General features: G+C 40.9%; 1 protein-coding gene and 1 long non-coding RNA gene across 23 annotated transcripts in view; one reads left to right on the top strand and one right to left on the bottom strand.

Moving 5' to 3' along the window:
• Positions 679-2,294, bottom strand: LOC124902428 (uncharacterized). Its single transcript, XR_007062148.1, has 2 exons — positions 1,810-2,294; positions 679-1,125 (listed from the first exon to the last, which is right to left on the bottom strand). It is a non-coding gene; the product is annotated as an uncharacterized LOC124902428 (long non-coding RNA).
• The window catches only part of FAM13C (family with sequence similarity 13 member C), a 117,053-nt gene continuing 91,856 nt past the window's right edge, over positions 1,012-26,208 (top strand). For 7 of the 22 annotated variants that reach the window (XM_005269619.5, XM_005269618.5, NM_001001971.3 and 4 more), the window contains exons 1-3: positions 1,644-1,794; positions 8,250-8,306; positions 11,719-11,923. In XM_005269619.5, coding sequence (XP_005269676.2) covers positions 1,733-1,794; positions 8,250-8,306; positions 11,719-11,923 — 324 coding nt within the window. In that variant the 5' untranslated portion in view covers positions 1,644-1,732. 22 annotated transcript variants of the gene reach the window in all.

Raw genomic sequence — 26,208 nt, 5'->3', positions numbered from 1 at the left:
TTTGGAGAGAGGAAAGCAAAATTGCAAAGAACCTTAATGAAACCTGTTTTTCTTTGAAAACTCAATTTTTATTTTTCAAGGTATAAATTTAAAAAGTTAAAATACAACTCTCATACAAACATAGGCAGGCAGCAGAGATCTATTCACTTATTAATGGGGAAAACTGTAAGATGATGAAGCTGGTTCCAAAAGCATTTTGAGGATCTGTGGATTTACAGGTATTTAGAAAGAAAGTTTGGTTAGATGCAAAATGATTATTTGGTTAGATGCAAAATTGGTTATCTTCCTATATTGCAATAAAATCATAAACGCTGCGATTATCTTTTTCTCTGAACAGGCTGAATAAAATGTGCAAGTGACCACAGAACTTCACTGTGGCTGGAATCTAATCAATAGTGAAGAGCAAAGCCAAACACAACTGGAGAATTAACTGGCCCCTGGGTGGACTTGTTAACCGATGTCTCAGTTTGACATTGAAAGGTCATGCTCTTCCCCATTATTTCCAAGTTTTGGTAAAGTTTTTAATTGCCCAATTAGAAAAATTATGAGTTTTTTGTTGTTATGTTAACTCATTAACTTACATAGGTTTGGACTAAAAACCACTATCCTAGCTGCTTCTGGGAGTAGAAAGATTAAAAAGGGGGATGGGAATCTTATTTCAAAATTCAAATAAAATAATTCAAATTCAAATAAGAATCTTTAATAGATGCTACATCCCATATCCAGGTCAACATGGCAGGAGAAATGAACAATACAAAGAGGGCAGAACAAATATCCCCAAGGGAAAGAAGCCAGTGGGGGGACTGACAGTCTTTCCTTTCCCTAACAAGGCTGCCTTTATTCAAAGGGATAGCGTTTGCGGATTCCGTCTCTCCATCCTTTGTAAAGGTGCTAGCTAGGGAGCTGAGCTCAAGCGGGCTGCTCTAGGCATAGCAAGCCCCACCCCTTGCACGGTGTCCTAATCACCAGCTAACCCCTGGAATAAATTCTCCACTCGCCCTGCGTGGGTTCATTCACAGCTCTGTAGTCCGGGGCTGGGCGCTTCCTCTCTGGGACTGAAATAAGAGCGCTCTAGACAGATCAGGTGTGATGCAGCCAGCCCTGCTTTAGAGCCTATTCTTTTTCCTAGGCAACAAAAAACACACACACAAAATAAAACACCAAACAGCAGCAATATCCCCCTCCCCCTTCTTGTTCTCTCCTGACTTTTTCTGAACGATGGATGAATCTCTGCGAGCCTCCATCCCTGGGGGTGGGGTGGGAGTGTGGGGGGTTGGGGTGAGCTCTGTAAAATTGGTAGGAGACATGTGGAAGAAAGCAAGTCTCCCGGGTATTTCAGCACTTCGGCAGAAACACTGGGGCATTCTCATTGCCAGCCTCGGGGGGTGGCTGGCACAAAGAGCCCAAGATTAAACGCGGCGCCTGGGCTGGCGAGGTCGGGGTCGTGTGGTAACTCTCCAGGTGCTCCTCGCTGGATCCCGGGGTCCCAGCCCCGCCGCCGCGCCCCGCCCAGCTCTGTCCCCGCAGCCTCGCGGGCTGCCGGGCTTTGTGGTTCGCCCGTGCCGCTGGGCCCCTGCTGGGGGTGTCGTTACGAGCATGTGCAGACAGCAGCCCAAGGTAGAGCGAGCGTGCCGGGCGAGCCCGGAGACTTGCCTTGCAATGCCATGTTTGTGTATGTGCTCTAACTCCCGGAGAGCAATCAGGGAGACGGCTCCCCGGCCAGACTTGGCTGATGTTTTCTTGTTTCTGTTTCAGCCTTCAGGATAATTCCTTCAGCAGCACCACTGTAACAGAGTAAGTGATTCTTACCATTAAAATTAGACTTGCATGCCTTTCTCTGGAAGCAACTATCGTGAAGGTATCCTCCACCGTTCCCAGCCGCTGTTCGTTTTAGATGCATTGTCTCCCGGAATCTGGGGCTGTGAAGACCGTGAGACGTGCTGACTGGTGGGGCCCAGAAATCTTTACAGGTTGAAACCAGCATTTTAGCAGCTGCGGGAGAGAAATTAAAACCAGCTGATTGCTTGCAGGAGCTCAGTGCTCCAAGATATGTGTTCTTGGAGCTCAGATTTTTAAAAATCCATTTGATGTGTTAGGAAGCTTTGTTGTATTTTGCCAACATTGGTGTCAGTTTTCATGGAGTGCACACTATATACATTTACAGCAATAGAAGATAGATGTGAAATGAGCTGAATTCCAGCATGTGGTAAACAGGCTAAACTTATCTTGGCCCTCTCTTGTCTACAGATTTTTAAGGCATATCAGAGTAAACTTTTTGTGCATGCCCTTTGTCATGTTTGTCTTCTGACTACAGAGATGTGACTATGGGACGAATGAGTCACCTAGTCCTATGGTTAAAGCTGTTGATTAGGGCAACTAACACCCTTCAAACATGGAATGAAGGAGTGTGAATGAAGGAGCGTACCAGCAAGCACAGTATTTTTTTAAAGATATTTATATGCTATAGTTTTAATTTTTGACATCCCTTCCTTAATGTTTTCCTAATATTATACTATATTTGTTAAAAATTAACAGGTAGTGTATTTTGCTAATACTGTATGTAATTTATATATACATATATATATATGAATATGTACTTCATCTAGCATTCTTTCTCTAGGCTAATTCATGATGTTTACTTCTGGGACCTTTGTAGAAGCCACTCTAAACATCTTTTCAGGAAAAAGGCATGTGTAAAGTTGTATCCTCAACTACATTTAAAAAATGTTATGAGTTTGATGTAGAAGGCTTAACTAACTGGGGAGCTGTTTGCTAAAATTCCCTAAAAAGCAAATAAATGTTTTGCTTTTGGCTTCCAAGTCCTGCCACTATCACAATGACTTGGTGAGGGAGGGATAAGGTTTACAGTGCTTCCTAGGCCCTCTTGTTTTCCACATTCTTTTGTTTCTCTCTTTTGCTGTGCTGCTCCTTTAGTGTCCAGTTTTGAGCAGACTTAAGTGGAGTCACTTAAAAAAAAAAACAGGATTGACTTTAGAAGAAGCAATGTAAAATACTCATTTGGACCCACATTCTGTTTATAAGATTGCTTGGTAACCTGTGCTGCAATGTTGCTTTTCTAAAGGCCTGAGAGAAGGGGAGAGAGGTGTGCCAAAGTGTGCATCTGCAGGCCGAAGATGAGGCCTGGACTTCCTGCTCCAGGTGCACAGGTACTGCTCTCCTCCCTTTGCTGTGCTTAAAGTACTAAGTGCTTTCTGGCCCCGATTCTCAGGAGCCTGGTGTGGCCAAATCCTCGGTCAGTCACAGGCACGGCAGGTTCAAAATGGAGACACTTAGCTCCAGATTTCACGTGGACTTTTTTTTTTTTTTTTTTTTTTTTTTCTGTAGAGGTTTCGTGGTTAAATGCTGGGGAGAGCCTGGTGCCTTGTCTTTGGACACTCCCCAAGGAGTTCTGATTGCATAAGATCATGTTTTTACTTTCAGAGGAGTGACAGTGATTTATTTTAAAAGGCACTGAGAGATAATTGGTATGCCATTTGGCTAATATAAAAATCTAAGGAGCCTATTGAGAACATACCAAAAGCTTCATAGGTATAACACATCATTGACTAGGACTGTTTAAAACTAGTCATTGCCACAATAACATTTTCCCCTCACCTCAGTAATATGACCCATATCCCGTGCTTCTCTGGGCATGACCCCATAGCCCTCAGGACCAAGGTGCTATATCCTGAGACACAGACATAGCAGGTTCTCAGGAAATGTTTGGGTGTGGTCTTGGCCTACACGGAGGAGGGACTTTTCTCCCCTCTATGTTCTGGATACAAGAAGAGCTCCTCTGCCTCCTGTCCCCACCCCATTCCTACATCCTTCTACTCACACCCACTTATTTTCTTCGATGCCTGAAATTTCACCTAGAGATGATTTCTTTGGATGAAGGCCTCTGGTAGTGACCCTTATTAAATTGGAAATTAAAAAGTTTGTGCCCTTGGGAAGTGGATTCAAATTGTCATGAATACTTTAATATGAATTATTTTACCTAACCTATTTTCTAACCTGTTATGGTTATGGTTATGCTTGGCCAGCTGGGAGTCCTAGAAGAGTCAAGGGGAAAGGGAAATTGGGAGGGACTCAAGGACAGATTTTATTTTCTTCTTGGTTTTTCCCAGCCCTGGCACTATCTATGCAGCTCTAGACAAATTCAATTTCTTTTTCCACCCCAATGTTTTCATCACAATGGCCTTGGCCTTTTCTTCCCTATCTGTGGCACCTTTTCATCTAATATTTTTCCATGGTCAATCGTGACATTGCCCCAGCTAACTTGCTATTTTAAATGAAGCCTGCAATAATTCTGATTAGTTATCATTCAAACCAGTGGTTCTCAAAGCTAACTGATCATCAATATCAACTGGGGAAGGGGACTGGAGCTTGTGAAAATTGCAGTCTCCCAGGTTTTATCTCAAAGTGGGAACCCAGAATGGGTGATTGTATTGGTGTCAGGACAGTGCTGTTTTGGGGTTTGGAAACCTTTAGGTCAGTGTTAAATGTTTAGAAACATAGTAGTTCTATAGGTAGGCAGTCTGTTTTAAAAATCCACATTCCTGGGCTCTGCCCTCAGAGAGTTGATGTAGTGGGGCTGGAGACTTCTGTTTTGACCAGGTACTTCAGGTAGTGCTAATGCAAGGGGCCACATTTTGAGAAAGCCCACAGGAGGCTGTACCTCTGCAACTTTGCCTTCAGGGAACATGGTACTACAGGGCAAGTGTAAATATCTTTATAGCACAACTACATTTTATCTAACAGTCAGTCTGAGGCCTCTCTTCTGTTTTAGGCAGCAAAAAGAACTTCTTGTGGGTATTTCTTTCACCACCATTATTCTAAGAAATGGCATGCCCTGTCTCTTGTGATCCTCTGGCATATAGACTGAAGAGATTATTTGTTTCTTGCTTTTTGGGCTTAATGTGGTGGAGCAGAAACAATCCAGGCTTCACCGATTGAGGCCTTGGGATCTTGACTTACAACTTAGCCCAGGTGCAAAGATAATTCCTACCTTGGAGCATTCTCAGGCTGGATTGAGATTATGTGAAAGAGCAGGTGAGCTGTGAAGTACCACACAACTTTTTCTTGTTTGTGGCTGATTGAGGGAGCAAAAGTTCAAATAGGAAGCAAAGTAGCAACCCTGAGCATTTCACAAAGAAATAAGGGGTTTCAGGGAAAGGACAGAAATGATTTATTAATTGAATAGAAGTTGATGGTCTTTACCAAGGTAAATGAGAACTCAAATGAACTAAAAGAGGTTGTAAACATGTGCCATGTAAGCCAGGAGGTAGCTCTATTTCAGTTGCTCTATCTGTGAGCTTGGAATTGTGTTCTTTGAGTGGCAACTGGAGTTGCTTAGTAGACATGAATATTGGATCAACTAATCAGCTCCAGCTTCATACTTCAGAATCTTCTCCAACTTTGTATGTTTTGGTGCCAAGTTTCCATTTTTAACTGATTGTACTTTGAGGAGAAAGATTAATAAATCAAATGAGGGGGAAAAATAAGTTCTTGCCAAATCCCCAAACAATAGGTATTGTTGAGCTCCAGAATTGAAGCTCCAAAGCTCTGCTTAAGCCCTAGATCTTTGAAAGCAACAATTCTAGATTTTTGTTCTTCATTGATGTTGCTACTTTGCTATTGAAAAACATTTTTATCCACATTACAAAGCTCAGGTGATCTATTAGCTGAATGCTGCTAATGAAGGGGAACAAAGCGGTACTTGGGGATTTGTTTTCCATGAGATGGACAGAGTGGACTATTGGCAAGAAAGTAAAGAAGGTTGGTTTATTCTAGTCAAAGCAGCATTTTTTTTTATGAGACAGAGTCTCACTCTGTTGCCCAGGCTAGAGTGCAGTGGTGTGATCCCGGCTCACTACAGCCTCCACCTCCCAAGTTCAAGTGGTTCTCGTGCCTCAGCCTCCTGAGTAGCTGAAACTACAGGTGTGTGCCACCACACCCAGCTAATTTTTGTATTTTTAGTAGAGACGGGGTTTTACCATGTTGGCCAGGCTGGTCTTGAACTTCCAACTCAGGCCCACCTTGGCCTCCCAGAGTTCTGGGATTACAAATGTGAGACACTGCACCAGGGCAACCAATTTTTTTAATTGCCAGAGGTAACAAAATATTTCAGTAAGTAGAAAGGGTTAGAGTCTGTGGGTGGCCTTTGTTTAACTCACTACAAAACTATAAATTAAAGATTTTAAGGGAAGAGGACTGGATTCATTCTGTGGGTTAATTATACACCATTGCCAGTAAAGAATACTTTAAAATGTTAAATTATTTCATATAGTATAAACAGTATATTATGGTTATATTTATGTATGCAGGCATTTATTTGCTTTATTTTTGTCTGCTGATTACATTGTGAATTTCTTAGGGCAGGATTCAGATCTTTTTCAAATTTTGTGTCCTTTAGAAGCAGTGCTACATAAAATGTGAGTCTCCAAATTGTTTAAAACGTGTCTGAGACAAGAATAAAAAACAGAAATAGGGAGTAAGTATCTCATAACTTTAATAGGAATTTGACATTGCTGTGACATTTTTACCAAAGTGTTTGTCCACAGTGGTGTGAAAATAAAAAACAAACTGGTCTGTCCTAAGCCCTGAGAGTTTGCGAAGCACAGTTCCAATGTCTAATGCAGTGCCTGGATTCAGTAAATACTCAATAAATGCTGGTTAAATTATTTCAGAGACCAGACCTCTTAGGGAACAAAGTTAATATTTCAATTCAAGTATTTTTGACTGTCTCTGGGGTACTCTGGCACTGTGGCAATATATCTAGGAAAATAAATTACAGTTATTTCTACTCATGGAATTAATAACTAATCAAAAAGATCTCAGTGGTACAAAGGTTTACAAGTGATGTGTGGTGAGATATAGTTGTTTACCAAAACCTCAGAATGAAGAGTAAATGTTTATGAATTAAGGTTAAAGTAGGAACTTGGCATGTGTATTAGTCAGGGTTCTCTAAAGAGACAGAATTAATAGGATATATGTATGTTCGAAGGGGAGTTTAGTAGGAGAGTGGACTCACATGATCACAAGGTGAAGTCCCACAATAGTCCGTCTGCAAGCTGAGGATCAAGGAAGCTAGTTTGAGTCCCAAAACCTCAAAAGTAGGGAAGCCAACAGTGCAGCCTTCAGTCTGTGGCCAAAGGCACAAGAGCCCCTGGCAAATCACTGGTGTAAGTCCGAGAGTCCAAAAGCTGAAGAACTTAGAGTCTGATGTTCAAAGGCTGGAAGCATCCAGCACAAGAGGAAGATGAAGGCCAGATGGCTCAGCAAGTCTGTTCTTTCCAGCTTCTTCTGCCTGCTTTATTCTAGCCGCATTGGTAGCTGATTAGATGGTGCCTACTCAGATTGAGAGTGTGTCTGCCTCTCCCAGTCCACTGACTCAAATGTTAATCTCCTTTGGCAACACCCTCACAGACACACCCAGGAATGACACTTGGCATCTTTCAATCAAATTAATACTCAATATTAACCATCATAGCACATGACTGAGAACATGGCACATGGGCGACCTTGGCTGGGAAGGTACAGAGCTGGGGAAACCTGACTTGGGCAGTGAAGGATGAGTAGGAGTTGAAGATGGAAAAAGTATTCCAGGCTTGAATGGGGCTGAGTGGGAATGGTTGGGAACAGGAACAAAGGCTTCATCCTATATACTAGAGCGAAAGGATGGTCCTACTCCTGGTTCCCCTAGGCAGGATGGAGAACTGGAGATTTTTCAATATGGAAGAGACAAGAATTTTTCATAAAGTTAATCCGGAAGTTTTATGAAAAGGAACCCCTTCCTTTTCACAAGATCAAGAAAATCTGAGACCAATAGAGTAAACTAAATGGAGGCTGGTTTGGTTTGGGACTGCCTGAAGCAGAAAAAATGCAAAGAGGCATGTAATGGAATCTCTTTTGAGCCAACCAGTATTGGTCTTGAGGATACCAGTATTGGTGTCCAATGTCCCCTCAAGTGCTGTGAACACTTAGGTCCTTGTTAGTTTAGGTGACACAGGACAGTGGAGGCAAAAAGGAGAGTCACATCTGGCTCTGAGCTTTTAAGCTCACATGATATGACAACATTTGCATCATAAACTGGGAGACATAGGAATCAGAACTTATTTGGGAGAGAATGATAGGGAGTGTTTCATCTTTTAGTTTTCCATGGTAATCTTGAGACAATTCTAGATTATTGCTACTACTGCTATAGCAGACAATTGGATCTGATGTGATTTTTCTTCCCACTCTTCCAGGTGTGACGAAGATCCAGTCTCTCTACATGAAGACCAGACTGATTGCTCCAGTCTCAGGTAAAAGCCACCATTGCTTGGTTCATATTTGTGAGAGACAGAAGCCATCTAGGTCTGGTGGCTTTCCTTTGAATTCTAGTCTCTTCTTTGAATTCCAATTATTTGTTCTCATGTCTCATCTCTTCTACTAGATTTTTACCTCTTGACAAAATTTTTGTCTTTTCCGCTTTTGGATACCACCCTCTTAGCAATCAGGACAGTACCTTACCTGTGGGAACACTTGATAAATGCCTGTTGAACTGAGTATTGATTAGCCTATCTCAATATTCTCATCACACACCCTAAAGGAAGAGGCTGTAGATTATTCACCAAACATATTATTGAGTGTCTGTAGTATGGTCTTGGTCATCAAGGGCTTATAGTATCGTGGAAAAACCTTCACTGCTAATCATTTCTTCTACATTTACTTTGTTCCAAGCCCTTTCATCTACATTTTATTATTTAATCTAAACTGAAAGGAAGTTGATGTTTCCTTTCTCATCCTGTAGATGGAGAAACTGACACTTAGGAATGATAGCTCATCCAAGATAACGTAGCACTATGAGGCAGAATTTAGACCCAGGCCTCTCTGACTTTAAAGTCCACTTACTGGATAACAAATATTTGTTGAAGGCCAATTTTGTGGGCAAGGAGCCAGCCAGTTAAGATTTGGGATGAAGAAAGACAAACCAATGCTGCTCCTAAGAATTCAGTTTGCTAGAGGAGATAGGCTAGAATATAGATGTGGATGCTACAGTGCATTGAGTGCTACTATACTAGAGGTAAATAGTGGATTTACTTAGAAGAATCAAACAGCCCAGAGAGCTTTCTTGGATTGATTCCTGAAGAACATTATACAAGGCATATGGATTTTTATTTATTTTTTAAATTATTATTATTATTATTATTATTGGTGAGGTCCAAGGCTAAGAAAAAGAGAATGCCACCAAGCAGAGGGAGCAGCTTCCTGGAAAGCCAATAGAGGGTAGAGAGAATTGTTTGAGTTGCAGGAACAGCAAGTGGTTCAGGATGGTAGGAACCCTGGGAACCTGGTGGAGTGAGGAAGTAAGAGGTAAGATAAGATGTGAAGCTCTAGAGGTAAACAAAGAACAGATTTTCCTAGGGTTTGTGTTCCTTGCTAAGGAGTTCAGAATTATCTTGGAGGCATCAGAGAAACCAAAAAGAACTCTCTCTCTCTCCTTTTTTTTTCCTTTGCAAATAACCACATGGCTAAGGCCCTGCCTGAGAGTAACAATAGCTTTCATTTATTGGGTTGCAGCCTTGGGTCAGCTTTCTATGGTAGGCATTTCAGAGAGACTGTATTATCTCTGTTAAGCAGATATTACATCTATTTTATGAATGAGGATCATAGAGGTGAAGTGATGTTGCCCAGGCCACACAACTAATAAGTGGGAGGATCTTTTAGACTCTGGCTTTTTTCAGGACACCATGCTTTTTCTCAGTCATGATTTATTCCGATAAGTAGTGGCATAAATTACATAACCTGTGCTTTTCTGTTTCGGAGATCCTGAGGAACCAATAATATGTGAGAAAATATGTTTCTAAATATGACTTTTGTAACCAGGTTTTACGTTTGTGTAATGCAAGAAAGATGCTTTTGGCCCCCTCTCCCCTTTCCTGGCTTTCCAAGTCAAGGAAGTAAACAAAATTACACTTCTAAATTTTGATTGACTTGAAAACATGATATAAAAACAAAGTTCAGGTATTATTTTGGGAATGAGTCTATCAAAAGAGTCATTTTAGATTTGAAAAGCTATTTTTTAAAATTCTTGAGTGTTCTATAATCCTACTCGAATGAGGGCATTTAGGTAACTGTAAAGGCAGCTGTTCTTTCTTTTGTTTCTCATGCAGGATCATGGAGTGGATGGGTTTCTAGTGAGAAAAATGTACTTCAAATGAACTAGTATAGTTTCCAATTCATGGTTTGATATTAATTTCCAAATCTATGAGTGACTTAGAATTTTTTTAATTGTAAATGATCTCACAGCTAGAATATTGACCAGTGTCATTGGCATTGATTTGTTTTTCAGTTACTAACATTAAATAATTATTGTAATTGTTGGATTCTCCTTTACCAGATAGCACTACGTTTGTTCTGGATTCAAGTTTAACTATGTCACGTAGTTTTATTTTTATATCTTGTCCAACTGCACCCTGGTCATGTTCCAGACCACCTATCTTGATATTTGCTTTGCTCTTTTCCCAAAGACTACCTGGAACTCATCCTTCCTGATGCCAGCTCAGTGAATTTAATCTGCCTTTTATTTGTAAAAAGTTGTCTTGAATGGTGGGCATTCCTTCTTTGCTGGTCTTGCTTCTTGGCTTTAGGTGTCCTTGAGCAGCTAGGAATTGCTTTCCAGGTGACTTTGCAAATGCTGTTTTATGGGTGCTTTTGGTAAGGAAGCATGAGGGAAAAACAACACCTGAAGGAAGCGGCCACTTCTCATGCATTTCATGTTCTAGTGACAGTGATTGTGGTAGATTAAGGTTAATGATATTGATTATATAGAGAAGGCCCCTTCTGGTTATGTCTGTGGTGTTTGCTTGATACTTAGCAGAATGAAAAATAAAATGCATCTAGATTTAAGTGGGAAGAATGGCTTCAAATAAGAGTGTTATCATGTCAGTATTTTTGAGAAAATTGTAACTGGAGGGGGGTAGGGATATTGTACAGAATTTGATTGTTGAACGAAGAACACAAGTGCCATCCCAGCCCTGAATATATGAAGATAACACCGCCCTCTTCCATCTTCTTCAGAACCAGAACTTGGACATTTGGATGTTTGACTTTGCATTCAGGGCATTGTTCAGAGGGCCTGGTTGAGTAAAATTTGGCCCATGCCTATCAAAATAGATCCTGTTAAATTTCTAAGTACCTCTGAAAGTTGTAGGGGGATGATTATAAACTGACATTGCCAATGAAGAGGAAGCATGGTGCCTTGAACCAAGAACACAGGTGTGAGTCTGGAGACCCACATGAGGCCTCTGGGTCTGTGTGGATTAGTCCTTCCATTAGGCGTGTGATTTAATCTCTTAGAGTCTTCATCTATAAAGTAGAGATGATGATATCTCACCTGAATATGTCACATTACTGTTGTGAGAGGGAAATATGATATATGTGAAAGTTTCTTAAAGTGAAAATTAGAAAAATAATAATAATGATATGTGTATAGTTACACCTACACAAAGTATGTATTCATTAACAAAGATCAGAAGGGAAGGTGAAGTGATATAGAGTGAAATTCACATTTAAGTTTTTGTTCATGCAAAATTGTCTAAGTGTAGGCTAAAAATTTTGCGAGGTGTCTATCCTATAAATATAGCAGCAATGAATATCTCCAGCCCTCTTTCCTGCAGCAGTTTATTCATCTTTTTTTAAGGTACTTTCTAAATTGGGTCTTTCCTGTTTTAGAGATGAAAACAATAAAGAGAACTACCCCGACGCAGGGGCTCTGGTAGAAGAGCACGCGCCGCCCTCTTGGGAGCCGCAGCAGCAGAATGTAGAGGCGACCGTGCTGGTGGACAGCGTATTGCGACCCAGCATGGGCAACTTCAAGTCCAGGAAGCCCAAGTCCATCTTCAAAGCGGAGAGCGGGAGGAGCCACGGAGAAAGTCAGGTAGCAGCTCTCTCTTCTCAGGCTTTTGCCAAGACGGGTGATTCTTAGGCTAGGCCACACGGTTCTGGCAGACGATTTGAGCGCACTGTTTTGCGGGAGGGGATTGGCACGACTTGTCATTGCGTGCTCTGCCGACCTGAGACACGTGGAAGCTCTTGCAGGTTAAAAGTTGGGTGCTCTGAGCCGGCTAATAATTTGGTGCCCCTTAAAACGTGTTCTTAAATATTGGACTTTGATTTATTTTTTAATTTTTATTTATTTATTTTTATTTTTGGAGACAGAGTTTCGTTCTATCCCCCAGGCTGGAGCACAGTGGCGCCATCTCGGCTCCCTGCAACCTCCGCCTCCTGAGTTCAAACGATTCTCCTGCCTTAGCCTCCTGAGTAGCTGGGATTACAGGCGCCTGCCACCATGCCTGGCTAATTTTTTTGTATTTTTAGTAGAGACAGGGTTTCGCCATGTTGGCCAGGCTGGTCTCCAACACCTGACCTCAGGTGATCCACCCGCCTCGGCCTCCCAAAGTGCTGCGAACAGGCGTGAGCCACCACGCCTGGAGATTGGACTTTGATTTAAAGGAGCAGCTGCATTCTTTTGCGGGGAAGATGGAGGAGGATCTCTCTGTTGTCATTCATCCAGGATGTTTTCGTGCCTCAGACGTGGGGATTCTGCTCAGCAAAATCAGAAGTCTCAGTTTCATCCAGAGCTATTCTTTTAGGCTGAAGTTTAGCGGACTGGAATAAACATACTAGTATGTATGTGTGTGTAGTATCTGGTTTTCTGACGTCAATTAGTATTTAAATGAATAAAGGAAACATCTTTCCAATACATTTTGATAGTAAATGGATATTTTATTAATTAAAACTTTTTTTGTATAAGAATGTAGCAAAGACTATTAAAATCCCTGATACATATGATTCATGATGCTTTTTTTTTTTTTTGAGACAGGGTCTCACTCTGTCAACCAGGCTGGAGTGCAGTGGCACAATCTCAGGTCACTACAACCTCCACCGCCGGGTTCAAGTGATCCTCCCACCTCAGCCTCCCCTATTAGCTGGGACTACAGGTGTGAGCCACCGTGCCCAGCTAATTTTTGTATTTTCTTTGTAGAGACGGGGTTTCACCATGTTGACCAGGCAAGTGCTGACCTCAAGTGATCCACCTGCCTCAGCCTCCCAAAGTGCTCGGGTTGTGAAAGTGAGCCACCACGCCTGGCCTTTCTGATGCTTTTAAAAAAGATTGAATTATCTACTCTAACTCGTAATTACAAAGTGGTAATATTTCTATAGTTGAGATTTTACGTGTAATGCACCTAACATATTTTTGGGGACATGGAAGTTCCATAAGCGTTAACTTTGCTTTTTTGTTAACATTTAGATGTTAACTTTAAAAATAATGTGGGAGGCTTTAAGTGTAATAGGTTAATTTTGTAATAACTTTTAAGCCCAGTCCTGTTTAGCAAACATGCATCAGGAGATCTTCCTGTTATAACAACTTTGGCTGGGCAGGTTTTTTAACCATGCAATTTTGTTATTTGCTTTGTGATTTTTATCTTCCTTCTTCCTTGGCATTGCAACCTCTTATTTAGTCAGTTAATTTCATAGTGAGATGAAAATGCCCTCTGCATTAATGAAGGTGTGTTGTGATGATCTTAAACAGAGTGTAACTCTTGTTGCAGCGAAGTGAGTGTGAAATACCATTTGAGTTATGATAAGCTTGAGATTATTACTGAATGCACTCCAGCACCTAACTAATTAGGAGAGTCATGCTGGGGAGGGCACAGGTTCCCCAAAGGCTGCCCCCAGGTCTGACTGATCCCAGGGATGTGCTGACCTTGAATCTCCTACCAGGAGTCACGTATGACATAGTAAGTTTCAGGGTGACCAGCCATCTCTCCTCAGACTACCCTCTTTCTTTTCATCCTGTAGTCTGGCCTCACAGAAATTACACAGTTGTCACTTGTAATAAGGTGCTAATGGGGCATGTAATTCCCAGCCTGTTGCTCATACACAGGTAGATTTCAGGGGAGAAATGTGCTTGTATAGTCTTTGCTCATAATACAGCATTGGAATCCTGGACTGCAGGTAAAATTCCCACTGGAATTTAAGTGGCCTGTTCTATCTGATACAATGAGCTTCATTCTCAAATGCTTTCCATTCCAAGCAAGACATTTGTTGAATAATGGAATTTTCCAATTATATTGGGGATAAAAGAAGACAGATTATTATTGAATGTATACAAATTATCCTATTGCCGTAAGAATGTAAGGACACTTGGTATGAGTTTCTGAACTCTGGGGATCAGTGAGACTCGGATGCCATTTTTAAATGTTTTATTTCAGTTTATATTAGCAGCATCTACTAAATTGTTGTGAATTACAGATAGTTGAAGTATAGAGAGGACTTCTTATATATTCAAAAATAGAACAATAAAAATAATATACTAAATAAATAACCAACATAAAATTTTCCTTGGTAGTCCATTCAATCTTATTATTATTTTTATTATTTGAGACAAAATTTCCCTCTGTCACCCAGGCTGGAGTACAGTGGTGTGATCATGGCTCACTGCAACCTCCGCCTCCCAGGCTCAAGGGATCCTCCTGCCTCAACCTCCCAAGTAATGGAGACTACGGGCATGTGCCACCACGCCCTGCTAATTTTTTTTTTTGTATTTTTAGTAGAGATGGGGTTTCACCATGTTGGCCAGGCTGGTCTCAAATAATCTGCCCTCTTCAGCCTCCCAAAGTGCTGGGAATATAGGCATGAGCCACTACACCCAGCCTCAGTCAGTCTTGTGTAATTAATTCTTGTTCCTCTTGATCTTGGGCTAGTGGTATCATGAAGCTGTCTGCTTCTCCACTAAAGTTCTACAAATCCTGACTCAGCCCACTGGTGTCATCAGATGCCTGTATCCAAGAGTCTGTCATTTGAAGTGTCAATTGTTTAAAGTGTCTGGTCCTTTACTATGAGGCTCTTGAGATTTATCTTTGCCAAAGACACAAACTGTAGCCTAAAGCTGAATAAAACCTCAGGCAACCATTGAAGGAAAATGTAACCATCTATAGATGACAGAAATAGGAATCACTGTGGTTAGTTTACTACTGATAATTTTAAAATGTGAAAGGTCTGATGAGAGTTTATAATAAGCATAGCACGTAATGTGACATGCAAAAAAAGACAGTAAAATCGTTCCACCAAAATTAGAATGTCTTGAAGGATAATGAGTAAGCCGATTTTTAAAGAAGTCAAGGAATGTTATTTCTGATTTTATAAAAATGAATGAATATAGTTTTTACAGAGAAAAAAAACCTCAAGATATAATACTCTTAAAAGATTCAGCTGGGCATTGTGGCTCACGCCTGTAATCCCAGCACTTTGTAAGACCGAGGCGGGTGGATCACAAGGTCAGGAGTTCGAGACCAGCCTGGCCAACATAGTGAAGCCCCATCTCTATTAAAAATACAAAAATCAGCCAGGCATGGTAGTGCACGCCTATAGTCCCAGCTACTCGGGAGGCTGAGGCAGAATTCCTTGAACCCGGGAGGCAGAGGTTGCAGTGAATCAAGATCATGCCACTGCACTTCAGCCTGGGCAACAGAGCAAGACTCCATCTCAAAGGAAAAAAAAAGATTCATGAAGTCTGGAGTAGGTCATTAAACTCAATAGGCAAGTCTCATATACATCCCTGAGTAAAAGCCATTGGCCTAGATGTAGCTAGATTCAAATGAGAGAAATAACTGTGGATAAGTCAACATTCTAAATAATAACTACAGTTATCACTGCTCAGTGTCATTCTCTAATATCAGGCAAAGCTCCACCAGGACTTGGACAAATATGGGAGAATTTGATAGAACTATTTCATAAGAGTTTTGATCGCAGGGTAAATGTCACATTAATTAGGTTTACCATGCAGTATGGTTGAGAGAGTGGTTCTGTTTGTAAAGGTGGATTTATTTGGGGCAACTTGGGCTTATGTTGCAGCTACAAATCTTACCTGATGCTTGCTGCCATCATCAAAACACTGAGTTCTAATGAGTGTGCTATGGGATCATCATTCCCCAAAATCACTTATAAAGGCCCTATGGGCATAACCTTTATAAATTTAAAGACAACCCTCTTTGAAACTGAAAAGCACCATCATAGATATTGCGCTACTGCCATATTGGGGTTCTTTTTTTTCACAAAGTTTGGATGTAGGACCTCAGAGTGGCTCTTCAGTCTGATCCTAACCAGGTTAAAAACAAAGGTGTAAATAATCCTACTGTAAAGACACATGCACACGTATGTTTATTGCAGCACTATTCACAATAGCAAAGACTTGGAACCAACTGAAATGTTCCATCAATGATAGACTGGATAAAGAAAATGTGGCACATATACACCATGGAATACTATGCAGCCATATAAAAGGATGAGTTCATGTCCTTTGCAGGGACATGGATGAAGCTGGAAACCATCATTCTCAGCAAACTATCACACAACAGAAAACCAAACACTGCATGTTCTCACTCATAAGTGGGAGTTGAACAATGAGAACACATGGACATAGGGAGGGGAACATCACACACTGGGGCCTGTTGCGGGGTGGGGGGCTAGGGGAGGGATAACATTAGGAGAAATACCTAATGTAGGTGACAGGTTGATGGGTGCAGCAAGACACCAAGGCACGTGTATATCTATGTAACAAAATTGCACATTCTGCACGTGTACCCCAGAACTTAAAGTATAATAGTAAAAAATTAAAAAAAAAAATAGGTGTGGGGCAGATAAAAGGAGCCAGATGGTAACTGTCTAAAGTTTGGCCTAATGCTCCACTTTTCTTACCTTTATTCTGATCGCCAAAGTCAGAATCAGAAGTTCTACTTCTGGAGGATCAGATTCAAATTTTAGTTTGAGCAACTTTCCTTTAATGTTGGCAATGACCACTTATATAAGAATGAACCATGGGTGGGGTGGAGGAATCTGAGATTTTGTGTGTATTCGTGAATGAAAGATTCCAGTTTTGCACCAACTTTGAGTGAAAAAATGGAAAGGGGAGAGATTTAGTTATATTTACTGATAGAACAGAATACCAGGAACTGGAAGGCAATGCAAGAATGCCCCCAAATAAGTTAAGGTATTTAGAAGGAGAACGCTTATTTGAATTGGAATCAGTTTTCCTTTCTGCTTGTTTATCTCTTTTTTCCTTAGACAATAGGCTTTGCAAAAGAATGCCTTAAATAAGGACCATTTAATGACCTGTCTCCTGGAAAGATAGGTTTTAGGGATGCTATTGCCAGAGTTCATTGAGATAATGAATCCTGAAGTTAGGAGATGTTGAGTTGGTTGGTGCTAAGGATAAACTCCTGATCAAAGTGGAATCCAGTGACAGTTTGCCCTTATGTGATATCTAATTAGATAGAAAACACCCTTTCCAAAAAGGAGAACTGATTTAAGGCACAGATTATATGTTGTAATAGTTTGTGAAAAATTAACAATGATCCTGTATTGATCACCATGTAAATCATAAAATTAATCCCTGACAACCAAATTTGGGGAGGATGAGACTTAACTAATGGAACCAACTTCCTGTAATGGACCTCATAACTGTCCAGAAGGCACTCATTTTTAGCAATGGTAGAGGCAGTCTTGTCATCCCCACTCCGTGCCATCTGGCATCATGCTATGCACTGTCCTGCTGCCCTCCCCTCTGGTGGCTATTTTAGCAGAAGACAAAAAGTAGGAGGCTATATAGAGCTTTTCTGCAGTGAGCTGTACACTGTGATCATACTGCTAATCCACTTCCTTGGGGAGACCAGCTGTTTGGTCTGGTGTATATCAGCATCAGGTTTCTTCCACTTGGCCCTGTAGATGTGTTAAGAGGCTGAAGAGAAATCTAAGTCTGATTGTGAAATCTTCATTTTTATCTTTCTACAGACACAAAGCTCCCTAGATGCTTTCAGGCAAAATAACCTAACTATAAAATATTTACTATATTTCTGGTATTGTAGAGCATAGTTCTTATTCTTACTGTATTACACTCTGAATTAAAATAAGGACAATAGTTAATTCTGGGCCATTTCTACCCTCCCCTACAAAAGAACTAAGATTATGTTTTCAATTATGGACGTACTTTATATGCATTTTTTTCTTGATGTATTACTGATCCAGTGAGCAACTTCAAACAGTAAAAGCAAGAAAACCAGTACAGCTTATTGACTTTGAAAGCACTGGAAAGCTAAAATAAACCTTGAATAGAATTCCACTCCCTTTTCAGTGAGAGGAAGACTTAGGTTCTGATTATGGCTTTGAGGGCTCTATTCTTGCAGTGTGTCTAAAGCATGAATTCACTGAGATCCTAAAAATTGGTCTTAGTTAGACAATTGTTTTGACACCTTAGTTCATGTTGTATTATTTCTCATGCATGATTTAGTAGCTCCAGTTTACATGTTTTACTTCAGTTTTTGATTAGGTGTGGGTTTGCTGGAAGATTTGTTCCTGGTCAGGAAGAAAAGTGGTCCTCTGGGTTTATCTTCCAAGTTCTCCTTCACTCTTCCAAGATAAAATGGTGAAGATTCGGGGGACAGGGCTCTGAGAAATGCAGGGTCCTTGAAAGTGAGATTAGCTGAGTCAAATGTTTGGGTTTACTGGTTTCCTGTGGTCTATCAGATTCTGATCCTCCTCTTTGAATTAACAAGTCTATTGTTAAGGCTTAATGATTAAGCCGATGAAAAATGGTATTTTTAGGAGGGAACCTGGGATGTCTGTAAAATCACTTTATCACTTTGTTTTTGGAAATATACAAATATATTCAGCTTAAATACTGACATGAAGGAATCTTAAAATGAAGTGATGTACTTAGTTTGCCTGGGCAATACATCTCAGAAATGGAAAATCCTAGTACTCAGACAGAATTTGCATTCAAAACAATGTAATTTATTTGAGTCTTTTAAGTTAACCAATGGAGAATTTGATAATTTGGTATTGTAGCACTCAGGGCCGCATTGCATAACTGATATTCCATCTGTGATGGAAGTTACAGAAGAATCCTCCTTGAAATAATAAACACAAGCGTATCGATGGTGTTGGTTGAGTATAGCAATGGAGGATGGCAAGGACTGATCTCTGCTTACATGCTGCTTGGAATATTAAACAGAGGTGCAGGTGGCTGCCATACAGGATGACTGTTAAAATTGTCCATTTGCCACTTCCTATGCATCTTTTACATACTTAAATAAATTCTAATTTAAAGAATTTACGGTTTTTCCTATATAGTTCCAAAGAGAGTTTCTAACATTATATGGCCATATAAATTCAGGCCAGTCAAGATCTACCGACACATAGAGAGAAGAAGAGCGTCCATGGGGCACCTTTGTCCTATTGGTACCTGTTGTGCCTCCATTGGGTTCCGAGACCTGCTGCCTCTACTGTGGAGAAGTTTCCTTTAATAAACTCCAGAGATAAATAGTTGAGTATCAGTTTAGTGATGTGGTAAAATGCATGGTCTATAGCTGCAGTTGGATATGAGTTCAAATTCCTTCTGCTACTTTCTTTCTGTGTGACTTTAAGCATCACTTACTAGCTCTGTGTCATTTTTCCTATCTTTAAACTGGAGATGGCAATTGTATCTATCTTAAGAGGTTGTTGAGGATTAAAGTTAATGATATAAACGTAAACATTCAAATTTTAGGGGATTAGAAGTAGTTTACAGGCCGGGCGTGATGGCTCAAGCCTGTAATCCCAGCACTTTGGGAGGCTGAGACGGGCGGATCACGAGGTCAGGAGATCGAGACCATTCTGGCTAACATGGTGAAACCCCGTCTCTACTAAAAATAAAAAAAAAAAATCAGCCGTGCGTGGTGGCGGGCGCCTGTAGTCCCAGCTACTTGGGAGGCCGAGGCAGGAGAATGGCGTGAACCTGGGGGGCGGAACTTGCAGTGAGCCGAGATCGCGCTGCTGCACTCCAGCCTGGGCGACAGAGCGAGACTCTGTCTCAAAAAAAAAAAAGAAAAAAAGAAGTAGTTTATAGAGGCCGGGCGCGGCGGCTCATGCCTGTAATCCCAGCACTTTCGGAGGCCAAGGTGGGCGGATCGCGAGGTCAGGAAATCGAGACCATCCTGGCTAAAACGGTGAAACCCCATCTCTACTAAAAACACAAAAAAATTAGCTGGGCGTGGTGGCGGGTGCCTGTAGTCCCAGCTACTCGGGAAGCTGAGGCAGAAGAATGGCGGGAACCCGGGAGGCAGAGCTTGCAGTGAGCCGAGATCGTGCCACTGCACTCCAGCCTGGGCGACAGAGCGAGACTCCATCTCAAAAAAAAAAAGAAAAAAGAAAAAAAAAAAGAAATAGTTTATAGAGTATTTTATAGACTCATTTGGCTGGCAAAAACACGAAAACCTCCTTAATTGCATATTTCATGTGGTGGGCTAGGCTGAACTCTGCTGCAATAACAAATAACCCAAATACGTAGTGATTTAAACCAACAAAAGTGCATTTCTCACACATGGTACATAACCATCATTGGTCACCAGTAGGTGTCTGTTCACCTCAGTCAACTAAAGACTCAAGTAAATGAAACAGTTGTAGTCTTGAATGTTGCTAGTTTCCAAGTTAGAGAGCAAGATTTTTTGAGGGTCCTGCACCAACTATTACAAGCTCCAGGCCTGAAGTAACACACAGCATTTCCATTCTCTACTAATTGTCCAGAGCTGGTCAATGCTTTGCCGTAACCATAACCCCATAACTCAATGGACCAAGAAGTACAATTCTATAGTATGTCCTAAGGGGGAGAATGAAATACTGGACAATAGCACTAATGACTTCCACATCCTCTACTCAAAGTAGCACATAATCCAAAGCAAGATGAAGTTAATTGGTCTTTTTTCTTTTCTAGCCCTTCACACTACTGAAGTAATGTTATTAATGTGAAGGACTAAGAGAAGAAAAAGAATATTAATTAGGTTAATTAAGTATCACCAAAGGATATACGTGCTATTATATTATTGTTTTGAACAGGAACTGAAGTTTTGTAGAAGCATCCCTTCAGTGAAACACCTGCTTCATTATGATAGGGAACAAAGAAGTAGGTCTAGCATTGATTTCTTCTTTTCTTCCAAATGAAACTTCAAGCTCATTAATTTTGCTATTTTATTTAGGAATAATCGTGGTCTTGCTCTCGCTATAAGATTGGAGTGATTTTGGGTTATGCCAGCTGAACCTGTGGTGCCATGATTTAGAGACATTTTAAAATTTGATTCAAAAATACTTTCTGAAGAAAGGGGATTTAACAATCTGGATATTGTCAGATATGGGAGCTGGGTTTCTGCACACACATACATATGCAAATGCACATCCTTGTGTTCTTTGTGATATTTATCCAAGAGCAGGGTGTTCTTTAGGCAAAGAAAACAGCTTATCAAGGACTTAGCCTGTTTTGGAGCTTAGAAGTAAAGCTGTTTGGAAAGTCTGGATAGCAGAAACAAAATGAACTGACATTTTGGGTAACTAAGAAGTGCCCATCTTAACTTTATTAAACATGGTTAAATAACACTCAGGAACTGAGGCATAACATATTAACCTCAAGTCTGCAATTTCGGACCCCATAGTTTTCAAGAGATGTAGTTGCCAGATAAAATATGGGATGCCCAGTTAAATTTGAATTTCAGATAAACAACAAAGAATAGTTTTAGATTAAGTATGTCCCAAATATTGCATGGGGTATACTTACGTAAATTACTTACTAAACATAAATTCATTATCTATCTGAAATTCAAATTTAACTGGGCATCCTGTGTTTTTATCTGCTAACTCTGGGTGACCCTATCAAAAATGAATGGCATGAATGTTTAATCAAACGCACCTTCTCCTCCCAAGGTAGAAATAACCAGTTGTACTCATGTGGTCTGAGAGCTGCCAGGATTTTTTTTTTTTTAGTTCAAACTTTAAAGGGTAAAGTTTGAGTGGAAAGGAAGTTAGCAGACTAAGTCTAGGAGGTTTGTTTCTCTATTTATTTTATTTTTAGTGTTCAAACAGCATGAAACATCCTGGAAAAAGCTGCTCACTCTCTTGGGATAATAAAGCCTTGAAAATTTGATAGATGTTCTCAAAAAGTTTGAAAATCTGCCCTCAAAGTCTGCACACCACCTTCCCATAGGATACTGCTTGCCATGAGCAGAGGCTGTCATCAAGTCAATAGGAAGGCTGACTTTCATGAGCCAGCTTCTGTGTTAAAATGATCAAAAGTGACATCGCTCCTGGCACAAATATACAGAACAATGGTGCCATGTTTTGAGTATTAATCCTGTTGGAGATAAGCAGTCAGCCAGAACACTGTGGCTTTGAAAACTGCTGCTCTAGACTGAGGCTAGTGTCACAGGTGAGGATAAATTAACTATTTTAAGCATCATTTTATTATGTAGATACCTCTAGGCACAGGTAACTGATGTGCTTGAATTATGAAGGAACTTTGCCTTCCCACCCAACAAAGCTCATCGTGTTTTGTTATTAATCATTTTTATTTTTGCTGAACCCTCTATACCTCTACTGCTTATCAGTTGTGGCCACAATTAGGGGATTTCTTTCTTTCTTTTTCCTTTTTTCGAGAAGGAGGAGTTTTGCTCTTGTTGCCGAGGCTGAAGTGCAATGGTGCGATCTCAGCTCACCGCAACCTCCACCTTCCGGGTTCAAGCGATTCTCCTGCCTCAGCCTCCTGAGTAGCTGGGATTACAGGCATGCACCACCATGCCCAGCTAATTTTTTGTATTTTCAGTAGAGACGGGGTTTCTCCATGTTGGTCAGGCTGGTCTTGAGCTCCCGACCTCAGGTGACCCGCCCGCCTCGGCCTCTCAAAGTGCTGGGATTACAGGCGTGAGCCACTGCGCCTGGCCAGGGATTTCTTTCAGGAACAAAGATGTTCAGCACTGCCTCTTTTGTTCTTTAACATGCTGAGCTACAATATTATGATTGCTTGGCTTGGTAATGTTGCTGTGTGCCAGGGAAATTTCTAATAGGAAAGGTCATTCTGGTGTCAGATTTTTAGGCTTTTCAGCTGTAGGTAACATGAAATAACCAAAGGGAGACCGTGAAGGTTTAAAGGTAAGTCGATTTGCCAGCGTGGTAGGGGTAGCAATTGGCGTTTAGAGTGTTTAAATCCAGGAAACACTGACCCTACTAAAGGTGCGACCTACCAGATTTAAAAATCACCAGGAGAAAATCAGTGAATGTGGTGCTTGTGGATCCACAGGAGGGCATTACGCCTCCCACCTCTTCCCTCTGTCAGGTTTTTCCTCCCTGTTGCTTACTGTCTTCTCAGCTGTACTGAAACTGACATTTGATTTAGGAACCCAGAGAGCGTGGTCCTCTGAAGACCCAGATATTGCTCTCTCTGAAACTCAAAAGGATGAAACAAAAGCCTGAACTAGTTTAACGCTAAATATTACATTGGTGCAAAAGTAATTGTGGTTTTTGCCAAGTAATGGCAAAAACCGCAGTTACTTTTGCACCAATCTAATATAAAATAAGCAAATACTAATGGTTTAAGGCTATTTCCTTTTATATTTTATTTATTTTTTTTCACTGGTTACCTATAAAGACTTTGACAGCTGTGACCTTTTCTACTTTATGTGAAGCATCAAGATGGAAATAGAGAAAAAAAGTACCAAACCCTATTATATATCTCTGAGTACCCCACTCCCACTTCATGCTAAAAAGCAGAATAGGGACTCAGCAGTTGGTTCTTGATGTAATGGAGAGTCCGAAGGAACAAGGGTCTGGGTGTTAGAGTCATTCTTGGGCCAAGTGCCAGGCAGGAATCTGGTGAGCTACACTCTAGCCCATGCAGCCTTGCTGTCTCCAGGATTTGGGGGTGAGTGAGGAGCCCAGGCAAACAGTCCACCAAGAGGTACTCAACTCTGTGCTGAGATAGGGATGGGCTCAAGGTAGACATCAGAATGAGGGAGAAGCAGGGAACTGGCACTAGAGGAGACAGGATTATAATCTCTGGGCAATGGAGATAATATTCTAACTCAGAAAATAATAAAACTCTTAGCAGACTCTTTTTAAAAAAAATTTTTTTTTAATCAGAAAATTCAGTAACTGCAACAATTCTTGAGCATTATTTTCCTGTAATTGAAATGTTCATTATTTGGTTAAAATTTCAGAAATGACACACCTAGGGTTTATTACAGCATCTGATTGCAAGGCCATAACTGTGAACACATTTTGTTGTTGACTAAGATACTTTCGAAGTTGGTTTATTTTGGCTTTCTCTTACTTACTTGTGAACTAATTGCTAAATGTGATTTGTCTCAGAGCCTTTTAGTGTTGTGTTCTTTAGAAGGAAATGTTTCCATTGCAAACAAGACTAAAAAGCCTATCTTCAACACACACACACATAAAATAATCCTCTACCTCCTTATTTTGGAATGGATGATTTTAATCAGTCATCTTTTTTAATGCTATGCTGGGACCTCTGTTATATTTTGAAAACAACCTGCCCTATGCACACTGAGCTGGCCTTTCCTTTCACTTCTCAAACTATCAGTTTCACTAGCAATCCCTTTTGGGGCAAAACTATCAGTGAGTTTTGCTCAATTTTCCAAATTAGGTTTGGTAACGTGGTGTTTCATCAGTGATGCTGGGTTGACTGTGCCTAAGGGAGCCTTTGTTTTCCCTCTTGTAAGTTGAGGGGAGTAAAGACATGAGTGATAGTGGAATTCAAGAGCTGCCACCTAATTTATCATCCATGTACTGTTGGATGTGGAAAGGATGGGAGAATGGAAGCTAGACAGGAGGTTTGTAGGGGCTGGATTGTAAGGGCCTTGGATTCCATCCTAATGAGTTTTCTTATTCTGATACTTCACAAACATTTTTCTATTTCTACTTCTAACAGCTGAGGAGACTGAACTTTTACCATAAGAGGGAATTTCTTTGAAATCTCCCTATAGGGAATATTTTCCCTCTTGTATGTTGAAGGGAGAAGTAGGTTGAGTAGTGTCCCCCTTCAAATTCGTGTCCACTTGGAACCTCAGAATGTGACCTTTAATAGCAATAGGGTCTTTGCAGATATAATTAACATAAGAATTCAGATGAGATCATCTTGAATATTTAGGGTGAGTCCTAAAGCCAACGCCTGGTGTCCTTACAAGTAGAGGAGCAGACACAGAGAGACATGCAGGGAATAAGGCCATGTAAGGATGGGGGCGGAGGCTGGAGTGATGATGCCAGAAGCCAAGGAGTGCCAGCAGTCACCTGGAGCTGGAAAGGCAAGGAAGGATTTTCCCCCAGAGCCTTTGGAGAGAGCATGGCCCTGCTGAAACCTTGATTTTGGACTTCTGGCCTCCACAACTGTGAGAGAATAAAGTTCTGCTGTTTTTAAGCCAACAAATTATGGTAATCTGTCACTGTAACCCTAGGAAACTAATACAAGAAGGGGCTTCCTGAAGTTAGAGTGGGCTGGCTCCTTGCTGCTCCAGGGGAACTGGCAGGAACTGATGGGATTCTGTTCCAGGAGGATGTGAGGCACTAAGTAGACTGGCAAGGCAGAGACATATGGGCATAGGGCAATATGACTGGGATCCAGTGACTACACAATGGTATGGAGTGGGGACTTCTACCTTGGGGAAGCTGAGGCAGGTTGATGACTAGTCATTTAGATTTAGTAGTTGTATCGAAGATGGAGAATTAGCTACAACATGGCTGGTAACCAGGTAGAACATATGATCTTACGGCCTGACTTTCTCAAAATCATAAATGTAGTTGACGCTTTGTGCAGGATGTTAGTTTTATTATCAATTTTGGCACAGTTAGATGGCAAGATGCAGAGTTTATTGACCATCAGTCCAGGTTTTGAACTAATAGAATGATTCAGGACCCTCTTTCTTCATTCCTTTAACAACCGACATTGGAGGGTGACTCTGCTTGAGAGGCCATGGACTTCTGTAGTTGTGGATGCAAAAAGAGATGAGCCCTGGTGTTTGGGCTTGGGACAGGCATGTTATCTGTCCTGGGGAAACAGTGAGAGGAACAGGCAGTGGAGTCCTTAGCATGCACTGGCAAGAGCACTGCCTCTGTTGTCATTTTTTTCATTCCTGCATCCCAGTGAAGCATCTAAGGTTAACAATCTGAAAAATGAGGGATAATATGACCCACCTATTAGGTTATTTGAAAGATTAAATGAGATAATCCTTTTAAAATATCTACTGTAATACATAGTACATAGTAAAAGCTCAATAAATGTTAGAATGTTAGCTGTTAGTATGGTTATTGTATCCTAATACATTATGACAACAGTGAGAATGAAAATGAAAA

This window comes from Homo sapiens, chromosome 10 (assembly GCF_000001405.40).
Source record: "Homo sapiens chromosome 10, GRCh38.p14 Primary Assembly".
Classification (NCBI taxonomy): Eukaryota; Metazoa; Chordata; class Mammalia; order Primates; family Hominidae; genus Homo; species Homo sapiens.
The sequence above is the reverse complement of the archived record's forward strand: the minus strand, read 5'-3'. Positions and strand labels throughout refer to the sequence as shown.